The 23,689-nt window shown below is 35.4% G+C and overlaps 1 long non-coding RNA gene across 1 annotated transcript in view, besides 1 other annotated feature; it reads right to left on the bottom strand.

The window, feature by feature from the left end:
- Positions 1-23,689, bottom strand: part of LOC101927145 (uncharacterized) — an 87,617-nt gene that overhangs the window by 4,360 nt on the left and 59,568 nt on the right. The gene's annotated exons all lie outside the window — the stretch shown is intronic.
- Positions 11,216-11,716: an enhancer, noted in NCBI's record as "H3K4me1 hESC enhancer chr4:63071027-63071527 (GRCh37/hg19 assembly coordinates)". NCBI's record gives its function as "activates a minimal SCP1, AML or CMV promoter by ChIP-STARR-seq in naive H9 embryonic stem cells {active_cell/tissue: H9 hESC(naive)}" and the evidence as "EXISTENCE:reporter gene assay evidence [ECO:0000049][PMID:30033119]".

Genomic DNA, 23,689 nt, shown 5'->3' with positions numbered 1-23,689 from the left:
CTGAGGCAGGAGAATCACTTGAACCTGGGAGACGGAGGTTGTAGTGAGCCGAGATTATGCCACTGCACTCCAGCCTGGGCAACAGAGCGAGAGTCTGTCTCAAAAAACAAAAACAAAAACAAAACAAACAAACAAAAAAATGCAATCAGCAAAATATAGACTAGGGGAAACTGTAACACAGTCTTTAAACTTTCTTCAACAAATGATTACAAAAAAAAAACAGTGAGTTGGAGATAGAAGCTAAAGATTAATAGAAATTTAAGAAATGTGTTCACTAATTGCTATACATAGAATTTGTCTGGCACCTGATTTGAATAATTAATTTCTTAAAAAGACTGAGAATTGTGGGAATTTAAACAATTTTTGTATATTCAAAAACATTACGGAATTTGTGTTAGTACTCTGTGTGTCATAATAGGGATTATATTTTTAAATGAGTTATCTTTTAGAGATATATTCAAAATACTTATAAGTGATATAATGTCTGGTGTTTTCTCCAAACTAATCCAGGAGAAAGGAAGAGAAACAGCATGGTAGTATAGATAAAATAATTGGACAGAATTAATAATTATAGAAGCTGGGTGACGTATATCTGGGGATGAATTATATAATTTCTCATATTTTATACATATTTAAATTTTTCATAATAAAAACATTTGAAATACTAAAAAAATTAAAGTAAAAAAAAAAAAACAAACAATTGCTTGAGTCTTGAAAGCCCCATGTAACCAGAACAAAAATAAAAAAGGAAGAGAATGGCCCAGGGAAAATGTTCAAGGAATAATCCATTTCCCACGTCCCCTCCTAGCACATCCTTGGTGAAAGTCCTCAAGTTTTGCTGTCTTTTGCACCTTCTGCCTGGAGGAATGATGTAGTCAATGAGGCTAAATAATTGAATTTAAAAAAAAAAAGAAATAGAATACAAAGACATTTTTAAGATCATGAGCTATCGAATTGACCAGCTATACCTCAGAATAAAATGTTTAGCAAAAAGAATAAAACCAAAGATGGAATCTGCAATCATTATTTGCCCATATTCTTATCTGAAAAGTATCACTGGGGAAGAAACAATAGAAAAATAGATCTACATTTGATTTTTATTCATACAGTAGCATTTCATATATATGAAAACCAACAAAACTACTAAAATCAGGAGTGGTCGTTATTTTTTCATCGATCAAAGTGGATAGTTAAGAGAAGACACTCTCTGAAGTCTATGCATCAGTAAATAGATGATCAAGCATATTATATAAAGTTAAATGTGCACCAATATGAAAGTCGAAACCTCCCAAACTAGCAGATTTAGAAAGTTTATTAAGAAACAAATAAACAAAAGCAGAATCTGTGAAATAAGCAAAGCACTAATAAAACAAAAATGACAGAAGTATGACACATGATACATATAGAACATACTATTATGATGACGGAAGATACTACTATAACATGCTACTTACATTTCTTTTTAAGAGATCATGAAACATTTATAAAAATTGATCAAGTGAAATGCTCAGTAAGTCACAAAATAATTTTTGAACTACAGATTTTATTAGCTAACAACTATGTACTCATTCTAAATAGTGTTAAAATTCAGGAAAGAAACAAAAATATTTGACCTAATATAATTAAAATAATATTTAATGGACCGGGTGCAGTGGCTCACACCTGGAATCTCAGCACTTTGGGAGGTCAATGCAAGCATATCACTTGAGGTCAGGAGTTCAAGACCAGCCTGGCCAACATGGAGAAACCCAGTCTCTACTACAAAAACACAAAAATTATCCAGGTGTAGTGGAACATGCCTGTAGTCCCAGTTACTCAGGAGGCTGAGGCATGAGATTCACTTGAACCTAGGAGGCGGAGGTTGCAGTGAGTTGAGATCGCACCACTGAACTAGAGCCTGGGCAATAGAGCAAGATGACTCGGTCTCAAAAATAATAATTATTATAATTATAATAATATTTAATGTTATTTAAAACACTTTAAACTACTCAAATCAAAAAGCACATAAAATCCAAATGCCTAATTATTTAAAAAATTATTGTAACAGTAATTGGGACCTTTCATGAATATTCCATTTATTTTTTATCAGTGGGCACATGGTATATTTTTCCTTTGATATTTCCATGTCAATAAGCATTTTTCAATTTATCTGATTATATTGTCCTTCCACTCCTCAGTTATTGACTATGCTACTTCTGTCATAAATTAAAATTCAATAAATGCATGCGTCTATTTCGCATCTTCTCTTTCTCTTTCTCTTCTCTTGTCTTCTTCTCTTTCTCTTTCTCTTCTCTTGTCTTCCCTTCTTGCAATCTTCTCTTTCTCTTCTCTTGTCTTCTCTTCTTTTCTCTTCTCCTCTATTCCTTATAAGAGTACCTGTTTTAAAGATTGTAGCTTTATAATAAGTCCTGATATCTAGTAGGAGTACTCTCCTATTCCTAATTTCATTTTTCAGAATCATATTGGTTATTCTTGTCCCTTTGCTCTTTCATGTTACTGGGATTATATGATATTTCATTTTCTACATTCCTCTACTTCAAATATATAAATGGCATTGTGCTAAAAACATTATGTTTCTTTCTTTTTTCACTCACCACTATGTTTCTAGGAGTGATCATGGTCTGTGTGTGCATCTACTCACTGTTTCCAGCTGCTGCATGCTAGAGCATAACCATTACATTGAACTTCTTCATTCTCCCAGTGATAGACAGATTGCCTCTAACTCGTTGCTACTACAAATTATCATCCATATCTCCACACATCTTGTGAGAGAGCTTTTCTGGAACATACGCTTAGGAGCTGGACTACTGAGTTGTAGGATAGGCATATTTAATATCATCAAGTGTGTTTCCAGTGCAGCTGAACCAGTCAATACTTTCAACATCAAGGCACAAGATTCCTTTCTACCTAAATATCTTTCAATACTTAGAATTATAAAACTATAACCTTTTTTTCTCAACTTGATGAGTATAATGTAGGATTGCATTTTAATTTTTTTCATTTTTATGATTACAAATGAGTTTGAGCATCTCTTCATGTAACTGTTAGTCATTTGAATTGTTCTTATTTCATAACTTGCCCTTTTTAAATTAGGTTTGCTATCCTTTTCCTGTAACACAGTATAATTACAAAAAATGAGAATCATATGAATATCTTTTCATCAATATCATAAAATCCTAGGACATTATTCCACAAAAGGAACATTATTTTATTTTGAGTTTTGAATTTTATACACAGCCAAAACAACCCCCAAAAACTAAGTTTTTTATATATGTCAGAAAAGGAACTCAAAGAGTCAAAAGGAAATTACTAAATCTGGAAACATAAATTCATGAATTAGAAAATTTTTATAAGCAAGAAAACTAAAGAAAGAAGAAAAATAAATGGAAGACTTATTACTAAAACCAAAAATGTTTTTTAAAAAATAACAATATAAAAAATAAGTATTTTCAATTTTCATCAAGAGAAAAATACACTTGTTAGCCTCCTATACAAGCATAACTAAAAATATAATAAAAATATAAAAAGTACAAATAACTATTATATACAATTATAATACCTAGGCATTTGAAATAAAAATAAAATAATCAATTCTGTATTCATAAGACCAAATAAATATTTTTATTAAAAAATAGAGAGAACATGTAAGAAGTGTTTCCACTAAATTTGAGAAGACAGTAATACAATTATAGTCAATATAATAAAGCTAATAAAACCAATAAATATGAATACTTAAAAGAAAATGAAAATTATCATTCTTGCAGATAATATAATAGAAAATTAAAATATAATTCAAACGCTATTAGATTTACTAATTATTAAGGTTGCCATGTACTAATCAATGGTGAAAATTAATAGTTTTCTTATAAACAAGATAACAAGGTATAAAAGAAAACATACTGTTGAAAAATATGAAATTTCTAGGAATAAAACTAACTAATATATGACTTTAATGAGAAATAATGAAAAAGGACTATGATATCTACTAAAAAACACACACTCTCTCTCTCTTAAATGAATGGAAATGTATAAAGTGTTCCAAGATGAGAAGAGGCAACAGCATGAAGATATCAATTCTTTCCAATTTATTTACAAATAAAATGACTTCCCTTTAAAAAAAAAAGCCAACATTTTAATGGTATCAGAAAAACTGATTTTAATGAATGAAGTACCTTTACAGAAGAGAAAAAAATGACAAAAATAGACAGCTTTTTTTTTTAACTGTAGTAGAATATTCCAGTAAAAGCTTTTAGAAAGGCAGAGTAAACCGGTGAGGTACTGAGAACAGATATAGGCAAGTGAAGCGATGAACAGAAGGGAGATTGCAGAAACAGACTGATATTATATATAAATAACAATTTCATACATTATTAAGTTGGCCTTTGAATTTAGTAAGAAGTATACAGTTTATTTAACAAATAGTTTAAAGGTAATTGTTTAGAATTATTTGGAAAAAAAGTGAAATCCATACTTCATGCCTACCTAACATTCTAGTAGCTTAAATAGTTTAATATATGAAAGATATTAATGATATGCTTTTATTAGTTTGGAGGTAACAAATTATTTCTAAGTATGACACAAAACACAGAAGTCATAAAGGAAAAGATTGACCTATAGAGTTACATAAAAATGCAAAACTTCTAAAATACAAAAGCTATCAACAAAAGCTTAAAAGTCAAAATAAAGAAAATATTTTAATTTAGAAAAAGCTAGCTTAATATTCTCAATATATAAATTACTCCTAAAAATCAAAAGGAAAATATAGATGATCCAATAGAAAATACAGTCGAAGTTTATTTAGAGGTTTCTCACAGAGAAAAGAATAAAAGTGGCCACTAATCATATATGAAAATCTGTTCAAACATAATATTCTGTTAAGAAATTGGTATCTATTTTTCATTGCACAGATAAATTTAAAAATTTGTAAATATATTTTTGGTAAAGTAAGTTGGTGAATTCGTTGAGTAAAAATTTGTGGAAACTTAATGAAAGGTAATTTTTCATTGCCTATCACTTCAAGGAATTTATTCCTTAAAACTATTCCTATATGTTTACAAAGACATGTGTACAAGCTATACACTTGTTTTTAAAGAAATTAGATTAGAAACTATATAAATCCCCAACAAAATATGTAAATGGTACACAAATTATGTTTTTTCTATATTAAGCAATACTATGTAGTAATTTAAAAAATAGTATAGCTATTCTAAATATGGGTTTCTCTGCATATATTAAGTTAAAAAAATCAACTTGTAGAAAAAAACTTAAAATTATCATTTATTTTATTATATTTATAAAAACAAATGAATCATACATAATGTGTGTGAAAGCATATGTGTATGTATGTATTCAATTTTGTGTAAACTCATAGCACTATGTCTGAAAACATTCATAGAAAATTGAAAAAGGTTATAGTTAGTAGCAAAGAAGGGATACTTTCTATTTTAATTTTTGCATCTACATGGTTTAAGCTTTTTATAATAAAATGTATGTAAAATAAGTGGAATTACCTAGATTATTTTCAAGATCCAAAAGGCCTAGCATCAATGCTAGGTCTGGTAACTACCATTAAGATTACTTTGAGAGTCAGTTTTCATATGAGTAATAGGGATTAAATAGAAGTGGCTCATTCTCAGGGTCTCTGAGAAATAAAATCCTTACAAAAACTGCAAAAAAAGTCAAACAAATTTAATATATTATTATTATTTTTATATTCCTATAACCCTATGGTTCTACCAGTGGTGTATCCTATTGCCCACAGGATAATATGATATATATAGAGAGATAATGCTCCTCTGTGCTTCAGAAAACTTGAACAAATCAGCCTTATCTACAAAAACAGTCTATGTTGGCAGTATTTATCAAATATATATTAGAATGAAGTTCTGTCTCTGAAGAAGCTTCATATACCTTGAAATCACATTTTACCTTTATAAGTAAAATGTACATTTTTAACTAAAATGACTAGATTTCTCTCTTTTGAGAGACAAAAAGAAAAGAAAGCAACTAAATTTCTTGGAATAGTTTTCACACATCATAGAGTATTAAATAAATGCCAGTTGATTTCTCCTGACTTGATTGTCTTTATGTCAAGGTAAGTCTAGCCAGTCTCACCTATAACTTACTCATTTCCCTAAGCTTTAATGAACTGATTCTTCTTAATGAAACAATTATGCCCATGTAACTAAATCAATCATTCTTCATGAGGCATAGGGTTGCATTTACTCATCTGGATCATGAAGGCTGAGGGATAATGGTTCATTAAGAAGCATGCTTTTCCTAGCCACAAAAAATCATGAGGCTTATTGGCAAAGAATCAGTTTTTACTCATTGGTTGAGTAAGAAGGAAAATCTTAAGAGGGTCAATTTGTTTATAATTGGTTTGGAACACTGCCCTTTCCTTTAAAGCCCCACAGTGACAGAATTGCTTATTTTTACTTCAGAATAATTATTTTAAATTAGGACCATATATTTATAGGATTACTGACACTAGAAATCTTTTATGAAAAACAAACAAAATCATCTCTGATTATCAAATTTTAGATAACATCATATTAATAACCTAAAGCTGTTTTGAAATAAAGAAAATGTGCCTTTGCGTTGTCATATCCAAAATATGGAGAAAAAATTAACTTAACATTTAGAACAGGATCCTACATGATTTCTCTCTTTCCCATCCTAAGCAGCATATTTGAGTTGATGACTTGCCAAATTCACATAAAAAAAAATCTGTTACTCCCATTTGTACTTAGTCATTTACAATAAGAAAAATAAGCATGTGACTCTAGAAAAAAAGGTGATGGTGAAAATGTTTCTTGTCTCTAAGAGGTTCATCTCTAAGGTTCCTGCTAGCTATGAAATACCACGAACATGAACCCAAGACAACTAGACTGCAGAGATGTAAAAATAACTTTCTGATTACTTACCAAGAGAAGAGTGTGTATGAGAACTGACATACAACTCTACAGAAGCACAAAAAAGTCAAGCCCTTCTTTCCCCAGACCAGAAAATGCCTCAGTCTATAGTGATAGCCTGTTTGGGGAACACTTTCTCTTTGATTAGGCTTTCCTCTTTTGCAAGCTAATATCACTCGGAAGTGGCAGCACAATGCCTAGAAGCACTTTCTCAGCGAGGCATTTATTTATGGAGGGAAGGGCTAATGATACCAATGGGAACAGTTGGCAGGAGATTTGCATCTCACCTGTGTATATTAGCCTGATAGAATCAGCTTCCCCTGTTTCTCAAACTGTCCTGTACCTGACAAAGTGACCTACATTTTGGTAGCCCTTCCTTCAGTGCAAACCTTCTAGCAAAAAAGCAAATATGACTTTTGAATCCCAGGCAAAAAACAAAAAAACTTTCAAAGATGCCACAAAGGTAACTTTCATATTTTTTCCATTGTATGTTAAAATTGAATGAACTCTGTAGCAATTTAGAAGAGAATAGCCTTTTTAATAGCTCGTGTCTTTTTAACAATTAATAATCCCTATCAAAAGTTATTAGCCAATACCTATCCTTTATTAATGAGCTATTGTTATGCCTAATGAATGGTGTCTTATCAAAAACTGCATTTCTAAGCCACTGATTTATGCTTTTAAATTGTTTTCAAAAATATTTCTTTACTGTCCCAATAAATTCTTTTTTTATATAATTTCATAAATAAAAAAGTGACACACAGATGGTAAATATAGGACCATAATTTTGTGGGTGAGAAAGCTAAATCCTATGTGCAAGTTAGGGATTTTAGAATCCCAGCTGTTGATTCAGCTGCCGCAGCAAAATCTCCCAAATGTGGTATTAGTGGGAGCTACTAGGTGCTGAGCTCGCTCTACCCTCCTGTTTCCAAAAGCGACCTGAGGTGACCTCAATTTGAAAACCAACTTATTTACAAAGTATCTATTGTCTGAAGAACAGGATTATATCACCTTTCCACAAATTGGACTCACACAAATCTGGGGTCAATTCCACAGGAAAAAAAAAATCACTTGTCCGAGTCACACAGAAAGCCATATAACAGCTGTTACTAAGGACCTCAAGCTAAAATCCCTCAAGAATGTAAGGTCCATGAGAGTGGGGACTTGTCTGTTTTGTCCTATGCTCTGTCTCCTATGTAGATTAACAATGCCTTAAAAGAATCTGTTTAAAATTGGGAAGCTGGGAGATCTATTGCTCATTTTCAGGACAAACCAAAGAAATGCTCACTGCTGTGGTTTGGTTCACTTCTGGATGTAGCACCCTAGTTGACCTGCAGAAGCTGCAGACACACAGGTGTATGTGTTGTATTTCATCAATTTCAAGGTGGCATGTTGTAATACGTTGTAACAGCTCTGAAATCTGATGCATCTTACAATCAGTAGAGTTTTACTATTCACTATTGATCAGTTATGACACAGTGGTCATTGTGCATGTCATGATTTGGTTGCTCCTCCTATGACATGACTGGAAAACTTCCTCCACAAACATTTCAATGAATAAACAATTTAAGGATCTTTTGAGGAAGGAATGTGCATCCTGATTGTTGTCTATCTTTTGAAAAGATCAATAAATAACTTACAGGAAAGATATCAGGTACTTGGAAGAAAATCCTATCAACAGTAATAGAACATTTTAAGAAATGTCCCATTATTAATATTCTTCATGACACAGAACAGGAAAGTATGTAGAAAAATACAGACAACAATGACACTGAGTCACAGGAATTCAGTTATATTACACTGAATATGAAGACATTTTAGAACGACATTAATAAATGTACTTCACTTGAAGCTTTCATTTTTATGTATGTAGTAGAATGTTTAAAAATTACATAAATAAATTTAAAAGAGTTTCTTCCATAATTCAAAAATTAAAACTAGAAGTGATAATAAACATTAGGACTGTATCACAGTATAATTGGCAACATGTATTTTCTTTCTTTCTTAGTGGTTTATAAAGGTGTGGTTTTTAACCATTAGCATCTTAAATTCCACGAAATACAGTATATCAGTTTAATTCTCACCACAATCCTGTGAAATAAGTAATAGTTTCCCATTATCTTTCTTCTTCAAGCTTTGAAGGGTCAGAAAGAGAAGTTTGTCAGTAGGGAAATAAGTGAGAGAAAGAGAAAAGAATTCAACTATATCCATTATCTAAAAGCAGGCAACCCACCCAGAGAAGCTGGGGAAACCAGAAAAAGTCTTATCTTTGAATGAATATTAAACTGTCCATTAATACAGAAACTAGAGGCTTTCATGCCATGAATCAAGATGTATTTTGCTATTTATAGTCGCCAAAACACTTGCTATTAACAAAGAGTGAATTAAAAAGTCATGGGTATTGCCTGAGTTTTCATCAAAGATTAATGAAAAGTATTTTCTGTTTCATCAGTGGGACAAAAAGACAGTAAGAAGACAAAAATAAAGTTGCTTTTAGGATTATTCTCCATACATTTTTCTTGTTCAATGTTCCTACTACACATGGAGTAAACTCCCATAAGAAAGTGCTAGTGTAATTAATGTAGTTGTCTTGCATATGTTTTCTTTATATATAGATGCAAGTTGCCCATAGAAATAGGTAAGATAGAAATATAGATATATAGGTACAGATATAGATTTTCCCCCTCAACAGACCACATTCCTGAATGGTTGTAGGTGATTGGGCAGGGCCTGGTGACAGTTTTGCAACAGGATATAGGGATAAAGAACAAGCATGCAGGGAACTGGAGACCCTCCTTTCACCCAATAGTATCTGAAAAATTAAAAAGAGTATTGGCCAGATGCAATGGCTGACACCTGTAATCCCAGCACTTTTAGAGGCAAAGATGGGAGGATCGCTTGAGTTCAAATGTTTGAGACCAGTCTGGGCAACATGGCAAGACCTATGTCTACAAAAAATTACAAAAATTAGCCAGGCAGGGTGGCTTGAGGTTGCAGTGAGTCATGATGGCACCACTGCACTCCAGCCTGAGCAACAGAGTGAGACCTTGTCTTAGAAAAGAAAAAGAAGAAGAGGAGGAGGAGGTGAGTAATAGGAAGAAGGAAGAAGAAGAACAAGAAGGAGAAGGAGAAGGAGAAGGAGAAAGAAGAAGAAGAGGCGGCGGCAGCGGTGGCAGAGGAGGAGAAGGAGGATCTACGATGGGGGGAGGAGATTTCATTGTTGTTTCTTTGTTCTGCTCCTACCCCCAAATCCATCATGCAAGCCTGTGTGTATCTCAAATTCTGCTGTTTCTCTCTCAGAAACCAGTGCTCTCACACCGAAGGCTGATTGCAAACTCTTTCTAGAGCAGCTCACTGACTTGAGCCTAAGGGTAAAAGTCATTGTTGTCAGTCTATTTGTTTACAAGAGAAATAAAGAGGCAGTTACAAGGCTGTTTAATGAAACACTGTTCACATTACTCCCTGGCCCATTCCTTTGCACAAGTTGGTTCTGACTTTGGAGTCTCTAGAGAAGATCTATGCTTATATCTAGTGCCCAGGGCCAGAGTTTTCTCTCTTCTTTATCCCTCGGTCTTAATTTTATTTCATTCTTTAGGAATTCTTTTAACTTTTGTTATTCTGAAGGAAAGTTTTCTTGATTTCTAATGACAATATTACTTCTTTATTGTTTTTAAGGTTTTTCTGTAATTGCAGCAGAATCCTCAGAAAAGAGGAAATAGATGCCTGAGCTTAGTATTCAGGCTCTTTGAAATGGTTGGATTCAGCCAGAGAGACATTTTTGATTTTTCTTTTCTTTTCTTTCTTTTTTCCTTTTTTTTTTTTTTTTTTTTTTTTTTGAGCCAGAGTCTCTTTCTGTCGCCTAGGCTGGAGTGCAGTGGCACCACCTCGGCTCACTGCAACCTCTACCTCCCGGGTTCAAGCAATTCCATATAGAAACAGCAAAATTTAATCTGTGATGTATCAGGTGGCAAGTTTAAGCTAAGCCACATGTAAATGAAAGTTATGCGGGAAGAGAAAAGTCCCTCAGAGAGGAAGTGTTTCCAAAGAGACAAAAGGTGTGGTTCCCGTTCCCTATCTTTCATCTCCATCCTGTAACCCACCTGAACTGTCAGGTTCCCTCTATAGTTTTTTGGAAAGAGATTTTAAAAAAATGAAAACACAAAAAATGATGTTCTCAAGTGATAAATAGAAAAGTCATTTTATTTTATTTTATTTCTTTTGGGAGAGAGTCTCGCTCTGTCACCCAGTGGAGCAGTCTTGGTTCACTGCAACCTCCGCCTCCCAGGCTCAAGTGATTCTTGTGCCTCAGCCTCCCAAGTAGCTGGGATTATAGGTGCATGCCACTAGGCCCAGCTAATTTTTGTATTTTTAGTAGAGATGGGGTTTCACCATGTTGGCCAGGCTGATCTCAAACTCCTGACCTCAGATGATCTGCCAGCCTCGGCCTCCCAAAGTGCTAGGATTACAGGCATGAGCCACCGTGCCCGGCCCAGAGAGACACTTTTCAAACAATGTCAGTAATTAATAATAATATACTAAATGTATCTATGTCAGAATTTGAATGGTTATTCTTTAGATTCAGCTTAAATATTTCAAATATTTTCGAGCTTTTCATTTTTGTGTGTGTGCAGAGATATTGGCAGGAAAGAGTGTTATTTTCCATCTTCTAAGAACTGGAACAAAATTTAAAATGCCTTTTCTGGCTGGGCACAGTGGCTCACGCCTGTAATCCCAGCACTTTGGGAGGCCGAGGCAGGCGGATCTCTTGAGGTCAGGAGTTTGAGACGAGCCTGGCCAACATGGTGAAACCCCATCTCTACTAAAAATACAAAAATTAGCTGGGCGTGGTGGCAAGCCCCGGTAATCCCAGCTACTTGGGAGGCTGAGGCACAAGAATCACTTGAGCCCGGGAGGCGGGGGTTGCAGTGAGCCAAGACTGCGCCACCACACTCCAGCCTGGGTTACAGAGCAAGACTCTCTCTCAAAAGAAATAAAATAAAATAAAATAAAATAAAATAAAATAAAATAAAATAAAATAAAATAAAATAAAATGACTTGTCTATTTATCACTTGAGAACATCATTTCATCATTTTTTATGTTTTCTTTTTTTTTTTAATCGCTTTCCAAAAAACTATAGAGGGGAACCTGACAGTTCAGGTGGGTTACAGGATGGAGCTGGAAGATAGGGAACTGGAACCACACCCTTTGTCTCTTTGGAAACACTTCCTCTCTGAGGGGCTTTTCTCTTCCCCCATAACTTTCATTTACATGTGGCTTAGCTTAAACTTGCCACCTGATACATCACAGATTAAATTTTGCTGTTTCTATATTATTCATTTCATTTTCCTCTGTCTCTTGAAAAAGACTTCTCATATGAGATTAGAAGTAGTTGTGGCACACAATGAATAACAGACCAAAATCAGAAGATCTTGTTAGCCGTGGAAGTTACCCGAGTTACCGGTGGCAAATCAGTACAGGTCTGCAGCGACCTCAATTCTTGCCTCCTCAGAAGAAAGAATTTGACTGAGGGGCATAAGGCAGAAGAAGAGACTGAGGCAAGTTTTAGAGCAGGCCTGTAAAGCTTATTAAAAAGCTTTAAAGCAGGAATGAAAAGAAAGTGCATTTGGAAGAGGGCCAAGCGGACATCTTGGAGGTCAAGTGTGAGGTTTGGACTTTGACTTGAGGTTATATATGTTGGCATACTTCTGGTGTGTTGTGTCCCATTTCTCTTGATTCTTCCCTTAGGGTGAGCTACCCGCATGCGCAGTGGCCTGCTAGCAGTTGATAGGTGAGCATGCGCAGTGTGTTTACTGGAGTTGCATGCATGCTCATCTGAGGCATTCTTCCCTTACCAGTCAAATGCCCCTGGAAGATCATATACTAGTTAAACTGCCATTTTGCCTCTTAGTGTGCATGCTTGAGCTCATTGACCCAGCTCCTGAGATCTTATCAGGAAGCTGCTGATCACTAGTTTCAGGGGTGTCCTATCTATAGGGAGACTGCCTTTCCCTGGTGCTGGCTGCAACCTATTATTATTTTAGAGAGGCAATGTGACAACTGCCTGACCATCACCTGATGGTTGCCTGACTTTCCTGGTGGAGTGTGTGGGCCTCTCCTGCCCTGTTACTGTCTGACTAACCACCCACTATAACAATCTCGGTTCAAAAACTAACCAGATGTTCAGCTTGTCCTTAAACATCTAAGACTCCTTCATTTCCAGTAAAATGACATTAATAAGAAATTTCACGGAGTTGTTGGGATCACATGTGCATTTTTTAAGTGGGAGAGCATTATAAAATCTATATAAAAGTTGTTATTAAATGGAAAACATCATCTTTTATAGTGAGAGTTGACGTCATCTGGCCATAAGCTTAATTTAATATGAATTATAAACATTTTTTCACATCTAGTAATTTATCGTTTCTCAATTTGGATATAACAGGACACAATTCAAAATATGCATCCACCACCTTAGGAAAAAATACCTGTCATTTTCTGAAATCAATGTTTCCATTTCTCACTAGCAAGCTAAGTGGAAAAGGTACATAGAGGTCAAATGTAGCAGGCTAGACTGTAAAAAAAAAATTATAAATAACTCTCGACCTGACAGAGGGTATTCACTTTCCCTAAAACAATCTTTAACCACTGAAAAGCAAACTTTGATGTTCAGAAGTTCAGTTCAACTTAAGCACCCCCAAAATTTGCCTGTTGATTCAAATGTTATTTGAAACTTTATAGCACATACAATTATACTGAAAATTGTATTAAAACAGGATGACTGTCTGGTACTATTTCCATGCATTTTGCCTTTTTATATAACCATAACAGAGGGTCAGAAACATATGTAAAAGTAATTTATGAAAATAAGCCACATTTTTTGGAAATGTAGGACAAGACTAAAATTGGATCATGCTCATCATGTATAAAGTTCAAATTGTTTTAAATGTACTCCCACGCGGCAGTTCAAGAAAGTGAAAAGTAAATGGTTCAGCTGATGGCTTTCTCTCTAAGGTGTGAAAGCAGATAATACAGCCATGTAAAGAAAGCCACCAATTTCCTCATATACAGTAAGACAAGAATTGTTATTCCATATGTAGAATACTGGAGACCATGTATATGAAATACCAGTCTTCCTATTGGCTGATAAAGGTTTACGTAATCAAAGACTATAAAATTCTCCAGGATAGGAGCCCTGGTGGCTGAGGCCCGTTGTCCTGGCGCATAAGGAGGCAAGGCTACGTGTTCAAGGCCAACATGGGCAACATTAAAAACCTCTTGTCCATTAAAAAAAAAAAAAAAAAAAAAGGCCAGGCGTGGTGGCTCACACCTGTAATCCCAGCACTTTGTGAGGCTGAGGCGGGTGGATCACAAGGTCAGGAGTTTAAGACCAGCCTGACCAACATGGTGAAACCCTGTCTCTACTAAAAATACAAAAAAATTAGCTGGGCATGGTGGCACACGCCTGTAATCCCAGCTACTCAGGAGGCTGAGGCAGGAGAATCGCTTGAACCCAGGAGGCAGAGGTTGCAGTGAGCCACTGCACTCCAGCCTGGGTAACAGAGTGAGATTCCATCTCAAAAAAATAATAATAAACAAAATAAAATAAAATTCTTGAGGATACAAATTGTACTATATTTGAAAAGACATCAGCTAATTTGAGTTTTATCTCCATTTGAGGACAATGAATTTGCAGCTGTAGGATATAAATTTACTTGCCATCCCTTTTCCAAATAGTATTCCATACCACAAGTAGGTGTTACTATCAGCTACTTTATTTTAAAACATGTAAAAGAATAACACAATTTTCAAAACCTGAAAAGTACTCCAAATTCATATGTGAACTATACCATTGTCTCATTCCTTAAAGGAAAGAGAAAGAGCAAATAGCATTTTTTGATGTCCACTCTATGTCAAGTTTTGTTTTCTCATGTTATTTCATTCACCATCATTGTAGTCTTGATTGAAAAAAAAAGGACTGGGGGATTATGCATATAAATGATAAGTATTGTTAAAATATCTGTGGAGTAGAGAAAGTAAGTGTGAACACAGAGCCTGGAACTTAAAATCAAGCTTTATTTCCTTTTGTTTGAAGTACATTTTGGTATATTAATGCCTATGGCCTTATTATGCATATGTGTCTGTATTACTTACCAATCCAAAAGGAAAGGAGTGGGGAGGGAGACAAGAGAGAAAAAGAAAGGGGGAAAGAGCGAGAGAGAAATGCATACAGTTGACTGAGCTCAATTTACTTAATTAAATGCTATCAGTTAGTGTTATATTCAACTTTATATGACAAAACAGACAAACAGGCCTACAGTATTTAAACAAAAACTGTAATTCACTCTGGCAGTCCAGAGTGGAGATAGCAGCACTGCAGTTATCAGAGGTCCAAGTTTTCTCACCCTGCTGCACCAACATCCTTCTGAGGTCTTGAGTTTGAGTGCTAATTTGGTATCCAAAAAGTCTCAAGAACTGAAATTTCATATTATGCATTTTCATTTCCATAAAAGAGTATACGTACCTAACCTCTTTTATTTCAAAGAGATTTCTTCACAAATCAAGTTTCCAGGGTGCGAGACTGTATATTTTGATTGCCAACTAATTCAATAATACTCTTATTTGAGTTGGAAACTGAAAACAGGCCATCCTGAAATGCAGATTCACAAAGTGCTACCAACCGGATGAAATATAATCCATACTCAAATACTTCAGTCTTTTAGGCAGACTGGTGGCAAATTCTATCTGACACTTATATGTTTTACTTCTGAGTCATTTTATATAGCTCAGTCCAAAAGTGTTTTTTTCTGCAATAAATTTTAAAATTAGTGCTTTTTTTTAACAGAAGGATAAATCAATAAATGAAGAAATTCAAACTAGTTTTTCTAAAATCATGTAAAGCAAAGTATTCATGGAACACAGACAGAAATAACCTCACCCCATGTAGTCTTAATGCAGAAATCACAGTCTACCTATAAGACCACAGAATGCTTTTAGAAATCCACTGGGTATATTTCCTCAAGGCATATTCCTTAAGGCATATTTTAAATGAGTATTTTGCCCAAAATGTGGGTGTAGTACAAATTCTATTCCATTTAATAATTCCTCAATGGTATTCCAACTTTCAAAGTAGTTCAGTATAACTTATGTTCATAAGCTTCACTTAAGGATAAGGAAATTACCTGGATATTTTTATTTATTGACTCAGCATTGCTGCAGTTCTGAGATGCAGTTGGCTGTCACTTTCTTAGCACTAAGAAAAAGGGACCCTAAGATTTAAGATAGTGGATGGAGAAACAGAGCCAGCCATTATGAGAGTATAAGAATGTCTCATCCTTGGTTTTTATTCATATCGTTACCAAACATAAAAAAATAGCTTAAGAACTAAATGCCATTGCTATTTTCCACCAAATTTAATAGGTTCTTTATATCATTGTAGAAAGAATCAAATGCTATATGCAAGGGCCTGCTTCAAGAGACTGTGAATTTCAGTTACTTACCATTGTAAATGCAATTATTAAAACCATCATCTCACCTTAAAATTTGCTCAATTATCTTAACTAGATTGTTTTTTAAATAAAAAATTAATTTTGTTAACCATCGATGAACACAGTCTTCTAAGGAAAGTGGAAATAATCCTTGTCATCCTCATTCCAAAAACTTTCTTCATATTGAATTCAGCTACATGAGATTAAAAACTCGCTGGGAAATTGTATAACAAAAAAAAGTTTTATTTTTCTATTTTGATTACTGATGTCTTCTTTGCACAACCCTAGAAATTCTACTGGAGTACATGTCTTAATTTGACACCTGTCAGAGACATCCAGCCCCACCAATTAACAGCAAATCTCTTTTGCTGCTAAATCCTGGCAGCCAACCTATATTTCTGTAGAAAAGAGCCTCTAGAAATCTCATGAACTGCTTTTTCCTCAAAAGGCATGAGAAATGAACCTCTATATTAACACAAAGACAATACTAAGCAGCTGCTCACAATCTCTTTCCAAAAGCACTTGATTTCTATAATAAACAGAATTAAATTGTGTCCATTTCTGGCCCTAAACAACAGGACTGGGCTTAAAAATGTAGCCCAGGCACATAAAATGCCACTGTAAAATTCAGCTTCTATCATAAACAGGGTAGTCTAGGGAAATTTCAAATTGAAATCATGAGCCAAAGCTTATTAACCAACCACTTTAAAATGACATCGACAAGTTTTGTTTTAATTATTTTTTTTAATTCCTGCAAACCAAAGGTTTTAAAAACTCACTTTTCGTTTGAAAAAACGAGGTTTTTCTTTTTTGATTTTTTTTTTTTGCCTTTCTAATTTGGATGAAGATAAAATTAAAATTGCCATTTTTGTTTAAATGCCAACCCCTGTCATTTGTGCCCAAATGGCTTTACTCTGTGTACCAGCCCCATCAATTAAAATCCACAAGTAGAAGGGACCAGGAGATTTAGTGCTTTGCCTGCTGCGCGGCCAGTGAGCAGAGGAGAGAATTTCTTTCTTTCATGCGTAATCCCTGACGACTCCAGGACTGCACACAAACTCTGGTGAGGATAGCTGGATTATTTCCAGATTCCTTACACCTCCCAAAAGCCCTTAGAGGCCCAGTTGTTTTGTTCTGTGTCCCCTGAAGACATCAGAACGGAGCTCTTGGATCTATACCACATAGGACATAATTCCTTTGGTCTATTTGTTTTAAGTACTCCCTCTTCTAATGCTTGAATGAAAAATAAAAGCACTAAAAACCAGAGGAAATCAGGGCGGAAAGCCCAGAGGAAATATCTGAACAGCAAGAGGCGTGAAGGGCGGACATTTTGGGAAGCTTCTCCTTTTTTCTTTTAATTGTGACTAGATTCTACCCTAAACAGCAAGAGAAATACAATAGTAACTTGAGCTTATAAACCTCTCCAAATGTTATTCCTCTCAGATTCCTAATTCAGGTATAAGGGCCAGATAGAAGCTAAGGAAAAATACCCTGAATGAGGCCCTGGCCTTTCAGAGACAAGCACTGCACTGGAAAATGGCCAGTTTATTAATTTGAGTAAGCTGACCAAGTGACAAGATTGGCTTTGTCATGATCTACTGGCTTAAATAGTTAAAAACTGTTTTAGACATTCCTAACTTCACTGAAAATGTGTACAATTCATTCACTAAGTAATTTGGGCTTGATCAGCAATGAAAACAGACATTGACAATGAAAACAAATCATAACAAATGTTTACAAGAGTATTTTTTAAAATACAAATTTACTTCCATAAAATGTATATGTACTATAGAAACAAACAAACAAACAAAATTGGCCAGATGTGGTGGCTGACGCCTGTAATCCCAACACTTTGAGAGGCCGAGGCAGGCGGAACACCTGAGGTCAGGTGTTCGAGGTCAGCCTGACCAACATGGAGGAACCCCCATCTCTACTAAAAATACAAAAAATTAGCTGGGCGTGGTGGCGGGTGCCCGTAATCCCAGCTACTCGGGCGGCTGAGGCAAGAGAATTGCTTGAACCCAGGAGGCGGAGATTGTGTTGAGCCGAGATTGTGCCATTGCACTCCAGCCTGGGCACCAGAACAAAACTCTGCCTCAAAAAAAAGAAAAGAAATAACAGAAAAATTAATAAGTGCTTGGACTTTCCAGATCACTGAACAAAGAATAAAAATTCCAGCCTCAAACTATTAACAATTATTTTATTTTACTTTAGTTTTTATAGACCATGAGTCTTACTATACTGTCCAGGCTAGTCTTGGACTCCTGGCCTCCTGCGATCCTCCCACCTCAGCCTCACAAATTGCTGGGATTACAGGTATGAGCTACCGTGCCTGGCTTATTTTAAACAGTAAGAAATAATGTTCTGGAAGTCATATATATATATATATATATATATACTCCTTTATATAAGTTAGTAAAATTGAGGATATTTTCTTGATAATGAAATTTTGAGTAGAAATACCTTGAAATTTTCTTTTGAAAAGAGAAAAATACTGTGAGACTATTTCAAAAGTTTTCTTTGGGTGACACTGAGAACCTCAAAATCTATTTTTTTCTATTTTTGGACGCTTGGAAAATATTTCACCAAATAAGTATAAAATGAAAATGTGAAAACTTACAGAGTAGAAGCTCTAAAAACAAGGAAATATTAAAACTGAATTAATCCCATGTCATACACACACATGCTCATAGACAAACATGCACATACCCACAAGTATGTATGCATGTAGGTCAGGTGTTCTTTCAGATTATTTGTTCTTTGAGTTCATTTATGTTCAGGGAGCATACTGTAAATAAATAGACACATATGGGGAAAAAGCATTCCAGCAGGTTAGGTAGAAAAGGAAAAGGAATTTATTAATTATTGGGTGGCCCACAGATTCTCTGGGATCATTCTTAGAGGCTACAGAGCCAGGGATAGTTCCTAAGAAAAGACTAGAGGCACATCCTGGACACAGCCATTAAAGATTCTGGGGTTATACTCCCAAAACTGAAATCTCTCGACCGGCTCTGCCAAAATTGCCTGAAAGAGCCTATGAATGCCTCCTTCTTCATGTCACTGTCTTCCAAGCAGAATTCTTGAGCAATGTGCCTGATAGGTAGAGCTTATATTAAATATCTATATTTCAGTTATAAGAGAAGCTGGGAAAAGGAACCTCTGTCTTAGAGAGAAGGGATTCACAACATTGATAATTCCCAACATAGTTCACAACACGCTGATGGCCACAAAAGGTGCCAAATATCCTACCATCTGCTACTATCTGCTTTGTGACCTCCCAACAACACCAGGTTTTTTAAAAAATATATTTAAACTTTGAACAATAAGAAAATGCCACAGCTTAACATAATGGAACTATTCTTCATAGAAATGAAAATACAAGTGCCCTACCTCTAAAAGGATGGCAAATCCAAAGCCTCATAAGTTTCTCCATCCAATTCTAAACTAAGATATCTAGGTGGTAGACATCACTGGTCTAAGTCCATCATAATGTCATCTTTATATTCTTTAACTTATGGACTACATTGTGAAAGAAGAACATATAAATATAAAATAATAGGGGGAAGGGAGAGAGGAAAAACATTTTGAAATATGTGAATATGTATAAGAGACTACAGGGAATGTGAGTAGATACTATATTCCTCATTTCTGGAACTGCTCATTATTTCAAGTTATAATTTTCTTTCTCTATCATGTATTCTAGAATTCTTTTTCCTCAACTGTTCCTCATCTAGTTCTTCAGCTGTTCAGAATCCTTACCTGGCACAGTAAATGAAATTTTATTCCTTAAATACAAAAGGATTGGTGGTCTTGCCTGCTGTGTACGCATCCATGGATCTTCCATTCATTTTACTACTAGCTATAATAGCACTATGAAGGCCAGAGTATCCCCTGTATTTTAAATATTCATTTCTGTACTACATGTGTCAGCCCTTGTTGTCTGTGATAATTAGGGTCAATCACCCCAGCAAAACTATAACTTCCATTTTTGACCTATTCATACAGTGGCACAAAAAGCTTGAAATGGTTATGTAATAGTCTCAGCTCCTAGTTCTACAAAAATATAGTTGGGTGTCATGTTGGAAGCATTCTTCACTCCGGCACTACGTCTTCCAAGCCAACGAAGCCAAAGGTCATAGAATATGAAACATAGTTTTTGTTAAGGGATCATAAGACGTAAAAGTGACACGTGAAATTCTGGCTTTCAATCTCTTTGTTTTCTTATTTTTGGAAGAAGCTTCTGCCTTATTCTGCAAGATGGTATTCCAGCTTCACAAGGGTGGTGCCATAATATGTGTTCAATAATCTTACACACTTTTATCAAGACCAGCAGCTTTTGGGTGACTGAGTGCCTAGCTATATCTCTAAATCCAAACAGTATATATCTATACATGACTTCCGTTTCTGTAAAAATCATTTCCATGGTCAAAAGCATTGGTATATGGGACACCACAATTGTAGACAAGGCATTTTAATAAGTCCATAGATATTGTCTCTGGAAAAGAGGGGGAGGAAATCCAAATTTCCAAATCCAAAATTGTAATTAATTCCAGTGAGGTCAAATCACAGTCTAATTCATGGTAGAATAGGTTTAGTATCATCAGCCTACCACCAAGTAATTTGTTTAACCCTTCTTGGTTAGTTCATACCTCACCCCCAGGTATACTATTAATATCAGAGGTTAAGAGTTTTGCCTTCTAAGACTTCTGCCACTGGTGAACTGGCCATCAAATACAGCCAATAATTGGTCAGATAGTGCTAAGGGAAGGACATGCTGATCCAGTGCATAATCTCACAAAAACAAGAATGAGCCTGGGCACGGTGGCTCATGCCTGTAATCCCAGAATTTTGGGCAGCCAAGGCGGATGGATCACTTGAGCTCAGGAGTTCCAGATCAGCACTGGGCAACATGGCAAAACTCTGTCTCTACAGAAAATACAAAAATTTGTTGGACATGGTGGCATGCAGTTGTGGTCCCAGCTACTCAGGAGGCTGAGGCAGAAGGACTGTTTAATCCCAAGGAGGTCAACGGTGCAGTGAGTTGTGATCACACCACTGAATTCCAGCCTGAGCAACAGACTGAGAATGTCTCAAAAACAAAAACAATCAAAAACAAGTAAAAGCAAGAATGACTCCACTCAATATCGGCATGGTTACTGACATTCATTAGCTGGATCACCCTTTTCTATCAGAATATTGCTCATCTCCTTCCCAGTGACAATCTTCAGTTGATAAGTCACATGGGAAAAAATAATTACACACTGTAGGTACATTTTGTTATCTATCTAAATACCTCTTCCCCAGCCGGGCGCGGTGGCTCACGCCTATAATACCAGCACATTGGGAAGCCAAGGTGGGTGGATCACGAGGTCAGGAGATCGAGACCATCCTGGCTAACATGGTGAAACCCCATCTCTACTAAACATACAAAAAATTGGCTGGGTGTGGTGGTGGGTGCCTGTAGTCCCAGCTACTTGGGAGGCTGAGGCAGGAGAATAGCTTGAACCCAGGAGGCGGAGCTTGCAGTGAGCCGAGATTGGGCCACTGTACTCCAGCCTGGGCAACAGAGTGAGACTCCATCTCAAAAAAAAAAAAAAACTATTCATCAATATCCATGAATGATTGTGGAACAGTACTTCAGATATTTCCACCTTCCAAGACAAAAGAACAATGGGGAAAGTTGCTCAACATTCTTCACATTAAAATAATTATTCTTTCCCATGTTCTTTTAGGAACATCTCTGAGTACTACTGTCACAATACAGAGGTTCATGTTCTTTATATAACATGAAGGGTGATCTATAAACCAAATCAAACTCTCTTTCCTCTTCTCTGTTAATTAGTCATTGGGAGGCTGGGTGCAGTGGCTCAAGCCTGTAATCCCAGCACTTCAGGAAGCCAAGGAAGGATAATCATTGGAGGCCAGGAATTCAAGACTAGCCTGAGCAATATAGTAAATCCCTTTCTCTAAAAAAATAAAAATAAAAACATTTGCCAGGCATGGTGTCACATACCTGTAATCCCAGCTACTCAAAAGGCTAAGGTGAGAGGCTCTCTTGAGACCAGAAATTCCAGGCTGCAGGGAACTACGATTGCATCACTGCAACCCAGTCTGGGTGACAAAGCAAGATCCTGTTTCTACTGTATGTGCCCAAGTTTATGCCTAGATACATGAGGTAACAGTACATGATATCTATTCTTGCAAATCATACTCCTGAATGGATGCTTCCATTTGGTAGAGCCTAGGTCGCATGTTCATGGCCTAATTGCAAGGGAGCCTGGGAAATAAAATTTCTGGCATTTTCTCTGAGAAGAGAGGATTTATAAATAAGGGAGAAAATTCCCCCAAAACATGTTAAAGAGTGTTGAAAACATAGTGGACAGCCAATAACTATGAAAAATGATCATTACAACAGACTCATAGATTATCAATGCAAATAGAATTGGCATTTGAACATAAGATATTGGAAACTAAAAGTTAAATAAGAACATATTATAAACTTTTCTGTAGAAGATAGTGGTAAACACACATACACACACACACACACGAAAACCCGTAACTGTCTGCTCTGAGCTACTTTCTTGAAGGAAGTTCTGAAAATCCAATGGAGAGATTAATTTATCCCTGAGTTACTTATTTATAGTACATTACATAATGGTTTCATTGCTAACCACTGCGACTACATGACTGAGCTTGCATTCTTGTGGAGAAACTTAAAGGATCACATAATTTGAAGTCAGATAAGGTTTCATGACAGACCCTCAAAGCATAGCCAAATGTTAAGCTAGTCCCAGCAAATGAGGCAGGAATGTTGCTGAGTGAATAAACATGATCAATGACAGGAAAATTAGAGACAAAAACTATTTTTAAAAAACAATTTTGATGTCATTATAAAAATATGCTTGTTCAGAAATGAGGGATCCTCATTTTAATTTACTGTCTAATCGTAATCTAAGAGTTCAAGGAGATTTCGTGATTCTTTCTGGGCTCTAATATTTTCTCTCATTCCTTATTCAGTGGCTAGTAGTCAGAAAAGGTGAAAAATAAAATGAAAATGACAGTCATCGATTTTCTAGTCAACATGTTCCAAGTTGGCGAATTGTTTCCAGATCAGGCTTCTAGTTATGTTTTAGAATGTTTTTCTGGCTAGAGCCTATTAAAAAATGCCATGTCAACTATTGCCTTTATTTTCAGTTTTTTATTTATTTTTCCTCCTGGAGAACATTTTTTAAATCAATTACTTACAAACAGTAATAACAAGTAAAATTTTATTTGCAAACATATTAGTA

The sequence above is a fragment of the Homo sapiens genome, chromosome 4 (assembly GCF_000001405.40).
Source record: "Homo sapiens chromosome 4, GRCh38.p14 Primary Assembly".
Lineage (NCBI taxonomy): Eukaryota > Metazoa > Chordata > Mammalia > Primates > Hominidae > Homo > Homo sapiens.
The sequence above is the reverse complement of the archived record's forward strand: the minus strand, read 5'-3'. Positions and strand labels throughout refer to the sequence as shown.